General features: G+C 37.8%; 1 long non-coding RNA gene and 1 pseudogene across 1 annotated transcript in view, besides 1 other annotated feature; one reads left to right on the top strand and one right to left on the bottom strand.

The window, feature by feature from the left end:
* Positions 1–6311: 6311 nt before the first annotated feature.
* Positions 6312–8397, bottom strand: NUS1P2 (NUS1 pseudogene 2; annotated as a pseudogene).
* LINC00621 (long intergenic non-protein coding RNA 621) overlaps positions 7489–13507 on the top strand; it is a 39978-nt gene continuing 33959 nt past the window's right edge. Inside the window, exon 1 of the long non-coding RNA NR_138043.1 lies at positions 7489–8140. This is a non-coding gene — a long non-coding RNA (long intergenic non-protein coding RNA 621). The remainder of the gene's footprint in view (positions 8141–13507) is intronic.
* Positions 7769–8682: an enhancer, noted in NCBI's record as "H3K27ac hESC enhancer chr13:23489315-23490228 (GRCh37/hg19 assembly coordinates)". NCBI's record gives its function as "activates a minimal SCP1, AML or CMV promoter by ChIP-STARR-seq in naive H9 embryonic stem cells {active_cell/tissue: H9 hESC(naive)}" and the evidence as "EXISTENCE:reporter gene assay evidence [ECO:0000049][PMID:30033119]".

The following is a 13507-nucleotide window of genomic DNA, read 5'->3' as shown; positions in this document are numbered from 1 at the left end:
CCAGTATGTGATGTTCCCCTCCCTGTGTCCACGTATTCTCACTGTTCAGCTCCCACTTCCGAGTGAGAACATGTGGTGTTTGGTTTTCTGTTCTTGTGTTAGTTTGCTAAGAATGATAGTTTCCAGCTTCATCCATGTCCCTGCAAAGGACATGAACTCATCCTTTTATTTTATTTATTTATTTTTTTTGAGATGGAGTCTCGCTCTGTCGCCCAGGCTGGAGTGCAGTGGCATGATCTCGGTTCACTGCAAGCTCTGCCTCCTGCGTTCATGCCGTTCTCCTGTCTCAGCCTCCCAAGTAGCTGGGACTACAGGCACCCGCCATCATGCCTGGCTAATTTTTTGTATTTTTAGTAGAGATGGAGTTTCACCATGTTAGCCAGGATGGTCTGGATCTCCTGACCTCATGATCCACCAGCCTCCGCCTCCCAAAGTGCTGGGATTACAGGCGTGAGCCACCGCGCCCGGTCGAACTCATCCTTTTTTATGGCTGCATAGTATTCCATGATGTATATGTGCCACATTTTCTTTATCCAGTCTATCATTAATGGGCATTTGGGTTAGTTCCAAGGCTTTGCTATTGTGAACAGTGCCACAATAAACATACGTGTGCATGTGTCTTTATGGTAGAATGATTTAGAGTCCTTTGGGTATATACCCAGTAATGGGAGTGCTGGGTCAAATGATATTTCTGGTTCTAGATCCTTGGGAAACGCCACACTGTCTTCCACAATGGTTGAACTAATTTAGACTCCCACTAGCAGTGTAAAAGCATTCCTACTTCTCCACATCCTCTCCAGCATCTGCTGTTTCCTGACTTTTTAATGTATAATGAATCATAACAAATGAGGTTAGTAGATTTCAAATGTCTTAAGTCCTTGAATTCCTAGAATAACCTTCCTCCAGGTTCCAGCTCCTCAAGGCTGGCTCTTGCTTCCCTTAGCCGGTGTTCCCTCCTTGGAGATGGCCTGGCTCCTGTGGATGGATGGACAGAAGGACCAATGCTAGCTCCCCAGCTAGCTGTCAGCTCTCTATGGAGGAGGGCTGGTGTCCATATTTCCCACCTACAAGTTCGTACTTTTCTATCACATGCTTGCATCCTCCAACAATATTTTATGTGCCTTAAAGTTGACATAAATGGCCAAATGGTGTAAAGATTCTTGCAACTTGCTTTTTTTCACTCAAAATCAAGTTTTTGAAATTTATCCATATTGACGGACATCAATTCAGTGTGTTTCTGTTAGCTGGAGTAGAATATTCTGTTGTGCCAATGAGGCACAGATTAGTGATCCTTCCCCACTCAGGAACTTACAAACGAGTTCTGCTTTCCCACCACACCATGAGCAGCCTTGCTTGTGTCTGCTGGTGCCATGTGCAGGGGTCCTTGGGCCAGGCCACTGTAGGAAGAGCCCCTGGCTTCTGGGAATGTGTGTCATCAGCTTTCCATGCCAGCTTTTAACAATGCCTGGCACTTTATAAATGTTCAATAAGTATTAAACATTAGCGCTATCATTACCATTATTATTAGGTATTGCTGCATTGCTGTCCAAAGTGGTTATACCAGTTTATACGCCTTCCAGCAGCAGAGTTTCCATTTCCACAGATTCATGGCAACACTCTGTAGTATCAAACTTCTTAATTTTTTACACTCTAATGGGTGAAAAATGGCATCTAGTTGTTTTAATTTGTGTTTCTCAGTGTTAGCAGTGAAGTTCAGCCTCTTTTCACTATTTATTGCCCATTGTTTTCTCTTGATATTTATTGTTTCTTATCATTCGCTCATTTTTCCATTGGGTCACTTGCCTTTTTCTTACTGATTTTCAGAACTATTTATGTATCTGGATAGTGATACTTCATCGGTTATGTGGATTGCAAATATATCCTCTCAGACTGAGGCTTGTACATTTTTTTGCTTTATTGATGGTGCCTTTTTCTGAACAGAATTTTAAATTTTAATGTGTCTGATACCTCAAACTGTTCCTCCTGTTTTGTGATATTGGTATAAACTCATGTTATCTTTTATAGCTTTGCATTCTCACGTGTAGGTGCTGACCTACCTGTGATTTATTTTTTCTTGATGAATTTGTTTTCTGTTGCTCCAGCACCACGTGCCAAGTAGTGCACCCCTTCCCCATTGAAGGGTAATGCCCCCATCATATACCAAGTTCACATGTATTCATGGTTCTTTTTCTAGCTGTAGCCTCAGTTTCATTATTTTATTTACCCATCTCTGAACCATATCACACTCTCTTAAGACTTGTAGCTCTATAAAATAAGTTGTGATATCTGTTATCTCTCTCGCCTTTATATTTAGGTATGTCTTGGCTATTTTTGGCTCATTGCTCTTGTATGTTAATTTTGTAAATCAGCATGAAAAACACATTTTGGGAAAAGATTTTGGAAATACATTTTATCTTTAGATCAATGTAATGATAGTTTCCATCATTAACGAGTCTCTCTATTCATGAATATGGCATATTTCTCCATTCACTTAGGTCTTCTTTCATGCCTTCCAACAAAGTTTACCCATTTCCTCCTATTAGAAACGTCTTGCACATTATTATTACATGTATCTCTAGGAACCTTGTGGGGTTCTTCACTGTTAATGGAATCTTATATACTTATCTAATTTTTGCTAGTAATTTTTATGCTGAATTTATATCCTGCAATTCATTGAACTCCCTAGTTAATTCTAACAGCTGTCTCTAGATTATCTTTAATTTCCTCTTCAAAAATGTTCTGCACATAGTAATAGCTTAGTTTTTTTCCTTCCTAGACCCAATAACAGATTTCTTTTTATCTCACAATCTGCTTCTAGGGTCTCTAGCACAATGAAACATAAAAATGGAGCTGATTTTAGAGCAGCACTGAATTTTACAATGAAAGATAATACTTTCTATATGATTTAATCCTCTTTATCAGGATAAGGAAATTCTCTTGTATTCTTAGGTTAAGAGGTTGTTGTTCTCCTTAAATCATAAGTTAGTGTTTATCTTCTATAAGGTTTTAGTTCAGTAGTATTTTTTTACCTGCATTATTAGTTACGATTATTATTATTTTACACACTCAGTGCTCCTTTAGATTTACCTGTATTATCTTGCATTTTCTTTGCTCACCCGAGCTTCATGTATCTTATTCCATCTTCCCAGGTTCAATTTACTTTTGGTCAAAGAATACCTCTTAGTAGGGTATTGTGTGTAGGTCTTCAGTGGGACACTCTCTCAGGATGTTTTGGTTCTGAAAGTCTTCATTTCATCCATTCTGTTAGTTCTCTTTTCACTACATTGATTGTTTCCTTTGGTATGCTGAAGCGTTTTACTTTTATGTAATCCCATTTGTTTATTTTTGCTTTTGTTGCCTGTGCTTTGAGGTCTTATTCATAAAATCTTTTCCAAGACCAATATCATAAAGCATTTTCCCTGTGTTTTCTTCTAGTAGTTTTTATAGTTTCAGGTTTTACATTTAAGTCTTTGATCCATTTTGAGTTAACTTCTGCATAGGGCGAGAGATACCTGCAAACTATTCATCCAACAAGGGATTTGTATCTAGAATACACAAGGAATTCAAACATCTCAACAGCAAAAAAAAAAAAAAATTAAAAATGGGCAAATGATTCAAACAGATAGTTCTCAGAAGGACATGCAAATGACTAACAAATATATGGAAAAAGTTCAGTATCACTAATCATCAGATAAATGCAAATCAAAACCACAGTGAGGTATCATCTCACTTCAGTTAGAATGGCCATTGTCAAAAATACAAAAAAAAAACCAAAAAACAAATGCTGGTGAGGAGGTGGAGAAAAGGGAATTCTTACACACTATTGGTGGGAATGTAAACTACTACAGCCACTGTAGAGAATAGTATAGAGTTTCCTCAAAAAAACAAAAATAGAACTAGCATATGATCTAGCAGCCCTACTACTGGGTAAAGAACCAAAGCAAAGAAAATCAGTACATCCAAGAGTTGTCCATACTCCATGTCCATTGCAGCACTATTCACAATAGCCAAGCTATGGAGTCAACCCAAGTCTCCATCAACAGATGAATGGCTAAAGAAAATATGATTTTATACACACACATACACACACCTACACACACACACACACACACACACACACACACAGTGGAATACTATTCAGCAATAAAAAGAATGAATTCTTGTCCTCCATGGAAACATGGATGAGCCTGGAGGAAATGGTGTTAAGTGAAATGAGCCAGGAACAGGAAGTTAAACATGTTCTCACTCATATATAGAAGCTAAAATAGTTGATCTCATAGAAGTAAAGAGTAGAATCCAGGTTATTCAAGGGTGGAAAGGGAAGGGGGATATAGGGAGAGATTTGTTAAAGGACAAAAAATTACAGTTAGGTGGAATAAGTTCTAATGTTTTATAGCACTGTAGGATGACTGTAGTCAAGAATATATATTTTCAAATAGCTAAAAGAGGACATTGAATTCTCCCAACACAAAAAATGATCAATATTTCAGATGGCAGATATGCTAATATCCCTGATCTGATTACTATACATTGTATGTATAGAAACACCAATACGTACCCCACAAATACATACAGTATTATGTATGAATTTTTAAAAATAAATAATTTTTATAGTCAATGAAAATAGTTTATTATTTTATTGTTTTTTGTTTATACATGTTAAGTTTCAACTTTCAATAATAAAATTCAATAAATTTGATTCCTTAATCATAAAAACTTGCTTTACACATTAGTTACATGTTGTCAAAGTCCATACAAAACATCACAAGGATTTGATTGACTCTATGCATGGTACCATCACACAGAAGGAGGAGGGAGCTAATCCAGTAACAAACATTCAAAGATTAAATTGTAGATATGCACAGTGTATTTGGCACTGTTGATTAATATTATAACACCTTCCTCTCAAAGACAGGCATTCTTAAGCGTTAGTCACAATATACCAGAATTTGCTATTCATATTAAAACCACCTTTTAAACTTTATAACAGTAACCAATTATTATAGTTTTAAGAAACAAAACGCAATGAGAACTGGGAATGGAATTCAAATCCTCCAACTTCTTGCTATGCTCCAAGCTGCCATCCATAAAACAGGTTTAATTTGGTAATTTTTCCATTGTGGGAAGTGTCAACAAGAAACAATTTAAAGACAATATTTTCCAATACAAATAAAGACATACACTTTTGTTTAAAATGAACAGTTCTTCTTGGGAGTGCAAAGGGAGCCTTGATGACGTACAGCTTGTGATGATTTTGGCAGCAATTACAGAACAACCAAGGCCATTCAAGTTGTGGAGATTATACTAGCAGGTGAACTCGTAAAGAGAAGATTCTGGAATGCCTATATCTGAAATCAGAATCCTAGTAGTTTGTAGTTTGCCTCTTCCTAGAAGTTCAAGAGACTCAAGTCATAGGCTACAGATGTACTTTCAAGTATATAATTATGAATGGAAGGAGAAAATAAAAGCACAAAAATGCAAATATTAAACCTTTAGTGACTTGGACTATATTCCAGTAGGTAATTTATTCCACTAACTTCACTTTAACAAAGATTAAATCCCTTTATTTTAATCAGGTCCATTAAATTTCATTCATTAAAGTTATACATACTCCAGAATGTTTATAAGACATTTACACCGATCATGTTTACAAAAAGCATAAATTCAGTCTTAAGCTGCACTACAAATGCCTTAATATAACATAATCACAGTATAAGGAAACAAATCAGAAATTCTCTGATTAGATATGCTGTAGCTTCACAGAAAACTCTCAGTAATAAATTAAAACAAAAAGACTTACAATGTATAATGGGCTATGCAGTGCAAAATGATGTCACCGGACCAAAATTTAGTTCAATCATTTTTATTTCAAGTGTGTTTTAAAAATCATAAACGGGGTTTCATAATCCAAAGCTGAAACATTTATTCTTCATAGCTTCAGAATTGACAAGCAATTGTAGACCATGCTTTCCAAATCCACTCTTCTTTGCTATTTTTCAAATTTCTGAGATCTAGTATTAAACTGCTCCATTCTAAATGTACAGTTTTAGATAACTATTGTACACTTGTTGATAAGAGTTTTCTGAAAACAGTCTATCAAATACAAAGAATGGTTTCTATCCAAGAATCAGCAGTGAGGGAAGAAATACTAAACACCTGTCAAGAAATCAGTTATTCATTTTAAAAAATAACAGAACCAGTGCTGCTCTCTGTCATAAAAAAGAACATGTAAAATTTATTTTTATAGGCTTTGGTAACATTATATTCCCCACAGAGGCCTTCAATCCTACTTAAAGATATTTTACACACGGTAACCATCAGGTTTACTGAGTAAAAATCTCAGGTATTAACCATGCCCCTAAAATGTGCTGTTCCAAAGAGGAACAGGTTACTTTTGAGGAAAAAAGCTGCCTTGGTAACTTCCCTCAAATGTTTATTTTAAATAAAAATAGTTGATGGAAGTATTTTTTAAACCAACTTTGGATATAATATGGCATACTGCCCATCAAACAAAAAAGGAAATCAAAACTTTTCTTCCATTTATAATGAGTTTTCCACCTTTACTTTTAAGATTACAACTTACTGACCTTTTATGCTTGTTTGGTTTTTTGACTGCCTAATCCAATATTTAAATTTTTAAAAGTCTGCATTTCAATGTAGTAAGAGTTCTTTTTCAAATAATCTTCATAAGCCAGAATACAGACACCAGAGCAACACTCTCAAGTCACACTGTTTGACTATAATGAAGAGATGAAAATGGGCGGATATCTGAAGATAGGTATTCCCTCTGCTCTGAAGGTGAGCAAGCTTTTAACATGTGAGCAACACAGAACTCCTTTCCTCTGGGGCTCCTTTCAACTCAGAATGCTTCAGTTCAGTAAGTCAATATGTTATTCCTAAAAATTAAAGTTTGGTCACTAAGAAGGACTGAACAAAATTTATTCCCCTCCCGCCAAACACAACCAGAACAGTTCTAATCAGGCCCCCTTCTCCCCACGAAAACAGGGAAGTAGCTGGGCTGAAGACTTTATTAAGTGTGACATTTCAGTTCCTAAAACATCACTGCTATATGCTCAAAGTTGTAGGTCTATGTATTTCCTTCTCCAACACGTCCCCATTTATGTTTATTTCCACACATACAAACGTGCACATGTGTGCACGCACACACGCACACACTCACTCTCAAGTAAGACACTTCTTTGTGTTTGTTGATAAATTATGAGGATTATGAACTAGGTGTGTACAGGGTTTCATAGGTGCTTTCTAAACATCAGAGTCACTTGGGTCCTTTCCTCCATAAGCCTCAGATCAAATTATGCAACCAATGACCACCACTTTCCCAGACGCTGTTCACAGGCTGCATAATGACGAAGGGCAGAGAAAAAGTCCCCATAACTGATGTTTACATGGGAAGGCAAAGAGACAATCTCAGTCAATCTGATGTGCCAGAGAAGAAAGCCTCGTGTGCTGTCCACAGGACCGAACTTCAGTACTAAATCAGGATCAGGACAACCATTTGAACTGAGTAAACTAACATATCTACATCCACATCTGTGGGTCTCCTTTGCTTCTGGGCTACTCACTGGCAAAAGTCCTGAGCGGCTCTCACAATATCTGCTTTTCCATCTTCCGGCAATAGCACCTTCACTGCCAAATGGCAATTTAAAACTTGATCATCTTTGTCATTACTATTTGCAAACTCTGGTGAGCATTTTGAACAATCTAGGCCCAGAAGTTCTTGCTGTTGTTTTAAAATTCCATCCATCAATCTGGAATTATTTCTTTTGAAAATACCTTGGTGGTCGTAGACGCTAATGTAGGAGATGCCCACGGCCATACACCACACCACGAGGCTCTCGATGTCCGAGAAGCTGGGTTCCTGCTCCACCTCGGTGATCACCAGGCCCATGTGCACAGGCAGCTTCTCCAGGGAAGGGCCGTCCGCGCGCCAGCGCACCTGGTGGTGGGCTGCGGGCAGGCACGACCCCCGGCGCGGGTGCGGGTGGTGATGGCGGTTCCTGCAGACGCCTGGGACTTGCGGAGCGTGAAGCCGAGCGGCGCTAGGACCGCGGCAGAGGCGGCGCGCCGGCACAGTCGCCAGATCCAGTTCCAAGTGCCGAACCGAACGCGGAGCCAGGAGGTGAGCTTGCGGTGCAGACAGAGCAGGGGGGCAGCACCCGCCACACCAGCTCTTACAGCCCCGTCATACTCTTGTGGCCCTCGGGTACCCCCTCTCCCTCCCGCCCACTCCCGTGGCGCTACGGCTTTTTATCCGCCCCTGCGCCGGCGCGGGCATCGCTCCGCGTCCCCCCGCCCCCTAAGCCCGAACCCCTTTCCACTGCCAACACCTCACCTCGCCCCCGCCGCCATCTTCCTCCTCCCTTGGCAGCCCCGCCCTAAAAATAAATAATTTTAAAAAGCATTCATTTTATACTATCTCTTGAACACTGTTCAGCAGGGTAGATTCCATTTTGATGATTATTTTCATCAGCACTTGGAATATACTGTTCCACTGTGTGTGGTCGTGATTGCTGCAGTTGTGAAGTTTGCTCTCAATCTAATCAGAGTCCCTTTACAGTTATGCCTTTTTAAAAGTGCTTTTAGTGTTTTTTTCTTTGATAATTTACAATTTAATTTTAATGTTTCTTTTTTTAACAGTGTTATTGAGGGATGATTGACATACACTAAACCGCGCATATTGAAAGTGCAAAATTTGATGTGTGTTTATGCTTGTGAAACCATCACTACAGTTAAGATAATAAACAGATCGGCCAGGCTCAGTGGCTCACGCCTGTAATCCCAGCACTTTGGGAGGTGAAGGCGGGTGGATCATGAGGTCAGGAGTTGGAGACCAGCCTGGCCAACATGGTGAAACCCCGCCTTTACTAAAAATACAAAAATTAGCCAGGCGTGGTGGCACACGCCTGTAATCCCAGCTACTCGGGAGGCTGAGGCAGGAGAATCGCTTGAACCCGGGAGGCAAAGGTTGCAGTGAGCCGAGATTGCGCCACTGCACTCTAGCCTACGTGACAGAGCAAGACTCCGTCTCGGGGAAAAAAAAAAAAAAAGATAATAAACATATTCATCACCCTAGTCTCTCCTTGTGCCCTTTGTAATCCTTCCCTCCACTTCTCCACCCTCAGCCTGTCCCCAGGCAACCACTGACATACTTTCAGTTATCATAGGTTAGTTTGCATTTTCTATAATTTTATATACCTGGAAGCATAGTGTATGTCCTCATACTTTTGTGAGCTCTGGCTTCTTTGCTTCAGCGAAGTTATTTTAAGATTCATCCATGTTTTTGGCAGTATCAACAACCCATTTCTTTCTATGGCTGAAGAGTCTTCAATTTTATCAGTAAACGCAATTTGTTAATGCATTCAGGAGTTGATGAACATTTGGATTGGTTCCAGCTTTTGGTTATTACAAATAAAGCTGTTATAAACATTTGCATACAAACCTTTATATAGACATATGCTTTTCTCTCTCTAGGAGTGGAATGGCTGGATCATATGGTAGGTGTATTTAGCTATTTAATAAACTGCCAAACTGTTTTCCAAAGTGGTTGTGCCATTTTTACCTTCCCATGAGCAGTGTAGGAGGTTTCTAATTTCTCTACATCCTTGCCATCACTTGGTATATCAGTCTGTTTAATTTTACACCTTCTAGCAGGTGTGTAGTGGTATCAACTTGTAGTTTCAATTTGCATCTCTTTATTGAATAATGATATTAAGCATCTTTTCCTGATCTTGTTTGCCATCAATATTTCTGTTGGTGAAGTGTCTGTTCAAATCTTTCGTTCCTCTTTTTATTGCATGTTTGCATTTTATTATTGAGGTTCAAGGGTTTTATATGTTCTGCATAGAAGTCCTTTACAGATACGTGATTTAAAAATACGTCCTCTTGATCTATGTCTTTTCATTCTCTTAACAGTGTATTTTGAAGAGTGGAAGTTTTTAATTTTGATGAAATGCATATTATCAATTTGTTCTCTTATGAATTATGCTTTTTATGTTGTATCCAAGGTCACAAAGATTTCTGCTCTATTTTCTTCTAAAAATGTTATAGTTTAAGGTCTATGAATTCCTTTGAATTAAAGTTTGTATATGCTGTGAGGTACGAATCAAAGTTCACTTTTTTGGGGATTCAGCATCATTTGTTGAAAAGACAATACTTTCTCCATTGAATTGTCTTTGTACTTTGTCAAGAATCTATTGGCCATATATATGTGAGTCTATTTCTGGAATCTCTATTGTGTTTCATTGATCTATTTGTCTATATGTATGGCAATACCATACTGTTTTAATATAGCTTTATATTTAGCCTTGAAATCAGATAAGTAAGTCCTCCAACTTTATTCTTCTTTTGCAAAGTTATTTTCACTATTCTAGGTCCTTCATTTTTTCCATATAAAACTTAAAGTTCAATTATTGATTTTCACTTTTAAAAGCCTTCTGGAATTTTGATTGATATTCAATTGATCTATAACTCAACTTGGGAGAATTGACATCTTAACAACTTCAAGTCTTCCTGTCCATGAACATGGTACATGTTCCATTTAGTTAGGTCTTCTTTAATTTCTCTCAGCAATGTTTTGCAGTTTTCAATGTACAAGTCTTCCACATGTTTTATTTGGTTTATGGCTAACAATTTTATATTTGTTAATGGTATTGGAAATAACATTTTTAAAATTTCAATTTCTGATTGTTTTATATAAAAATACCCTTGATTTGTGTATATTAATCTTGAACTCTGCCACCTTGCTAACTCACTTATTAGTTCTAATAGCTTTTATTTCATGGATTCCATGGACTGGTGTACACAAATGATAAGGAAAGTGTTACTCTTTCCAATCTAGATGATTTATTTCTTTTTCTTGCCTTATTTCATGAGTTAGAACCTCCAGTACAATGTTTAATAAAAGTGATGAGAGTAGATATCTTTACCTTGTTCTCAATTTTAGGAAGACATAGATTTTTGTGTAGATGGCCTGCATCCTATGAGGACTCTTCATTTTATCCCTGGTTTTGTGAGGGCTTTTAATCATGACTCAATGTTGGGTTTTACTAAGTGCTTTTTCTATTAAGATGATCATATGCATTTTTCTTTTTAGTCCACTAATATGGTAAAGTTCATTTATTGATTTTTGAATGTTAAATCAACTTTATCTTCCTGCAATAAAGTACACTTTGTCATGATATAGATGAACTAGATTTGCTAAAATTTTAGTAAGAATATTTTCATCATTGTTCATGAGGGTTATTGGTCTCTGTTGTTGTTTCTTATGATGTCTGTTTGATTTAGTAAGAAAGTAATGCTATCTTCATCAAATAAAGGAAAGACCTTTTCCTTTTCTATTGTCTGGAAGGATTTGCGTAGAATTGTTATTGTTTCCTTAAATATTGTTAGACTTCACCATGAAAACCACCTGGGCCTTTAGTTTTCTTTGTCATTAGGATTTTAATTAAAAACTTGATTTTGTCAATAGATACTCTTGTTATCTATTTCTTCTTGAGTGAACTTTGATAGTTTATGCCCTCCAAGGAATGTGTTCATTTCATCTAAGTTATCAAATTTATTAGAAAAAAATGGCTTACAGTAGTCCATTGTTTCCTTATAATTACTGTAGAAGATTTGGTGACACCCACCCTTTCATTCCTGGTATTGGTAATTCGTGCCTTTTTACTTTTTTCTTGATCAGCTGACTAGAAGTCTAACAATTTAATTGATTGTTTAAAATGATTAGCATTTACTTTCTTGGATTTTTCTTATAATTTTCCCTTTTTTCTTTCATTGATTTCTGTTTTTTTTATTATTTTCTTTATCTGCTTACATTGTGTTTAATTTGCTCTTCTCTTTCCAGTTTCTGAAGGTGAAAACTCAGGTCACTGATTTGAGACCTTTCTTTTTTGTTATAATATAGGATCTTAGTGCTTAAATTTGCCTCCAAGCATACATTAGCTGCAACTCCCTGATTCTGATATATCGTGTTTTCATTTTCAGCTCAATGAACTTTCCAATTTCTCTTTTGATTTCTTATTTGAATAATATACTTTGGCTCTATGTCTCCACCCAAATCTCACCTTGAATTGCAATCCCCATAATCTCCAGGTGTCAAGGGTGGGACTGGGTGGAGGTAATTTAATTATGGGGGTGGTTCCCCCCATGCAATCTGATGGTCTGATTTTTTTTTTTTTTTTTTTTTTTTTTTTGCAACATTGCCCTTTGATGTCCCCATGAGGGCCAGGCCCAGGCAGAACCCATCCCATTTTATCCTTAAACTCAGAAGGAAATTTGTCTAAATATTAAAGGATTAATATGGGAATAAAAAATGAACCTTAAACCCTGCCACTGATACACAAGCTGTCTCTCTTAGAGTTCAATGAACACTTCAGGAGAGTATTTCCAACAATATTTAGATATTGGAATATCTAAATATTGTTGATTTAGATAACCACCCTAGATTTCTCACCACCCTAGAACATTTAGTGGGGAGACATTCTTTTCTCCTTTTTCTGATAACTTGGTCAGAAGTGATTGACTGTGCAAATGGTATTTCTCAGCTAAAATCTCCCTTACGAACCCTTCCTCGAAATCCCCAAGGTCTCCTCTCTTTCTTAAGTAGGTAACAGCTAATTTGAATATTGATTCATCAGTATCCCTGTGTCTACACCAAGTTCAAACTGAAGATCTCCTTGAGGTGCTTGACTCCTTGTGGGCCTAAAAATTGTGCTGAGAATTTGGGGGGAGGGACAATTTCATTAAGTTCAGTTTAATCCATGCAAACTTATAAAAACCAAGCTTGCACAATGTTGTCTAACAACAGAAGCTAAAGAAAGTCTAAAACCAGAAGTCAAAAGCCTAAAAGCAAAAGGACTCATCATGCCTTGTACCAATCCTTATAATACTCTTACCATCCTAATAATAAAACCCCATGTGAGGACGAGCGTGGTGGCTCACGCCTGTAATCCCAGCACTTTGGGAGGCCGAGGCAGGTGGATCACGAGGTCATGAGATCAAGACCATCCTGGCTAACACGATAAAACCCTGTCTCTACTAAAAATGCAAAAATTACCCAGGTGTGATGGCGTGTGCCTGTAGTCCCAGCTACTCAGGAGGCTGAGGCAGGAGAATTCCTTGAACCCAGGAGGCAGAGGTTGCAGTGAGCCGAGATCGCGCCACTGCACTCCAGCCCAGGCGACCGAGTGAGACTCCATCTCAAAAAAAAAAAAAAAAACAATGCGAGAATATACATTTGTTCATGACCTCAGCCTCATAGTTATTCCTCATACACTTGGAAAACCAAATTTATATATAATCTTATTTTTAGTCCTATTTGAGGCTGTATTTTTTTTTTTTTTGAGACAGAGTTGCTGAGGCTGGAGTGCAGTGGCACAATCTCAGCTCACTGCAGCCTCCACCTCCTGGGTTCAAGCAATTCTCCTGCCTCAGCCTCCCGAGTAGCTGGGATTATAGGCATGTGCCACCACACCCAGCAAATTTTTTG

Source organism: Homo sapiens, chromosome 13 (genome assembly GCF_000001405.40).
Source record: "Homo sapiens chromosome 13, GRCh38.p14 Primary Assembly".
NCBI lineage: Eukaryota > Metazoa > Chordata > Mammalia > Primates > Hominidae > Homo > Homo sapiens.
Note: the sequence above shows the minus strand (reverse complement) of the source record. Positions and strands in the feature narration are given on the sequence as shown.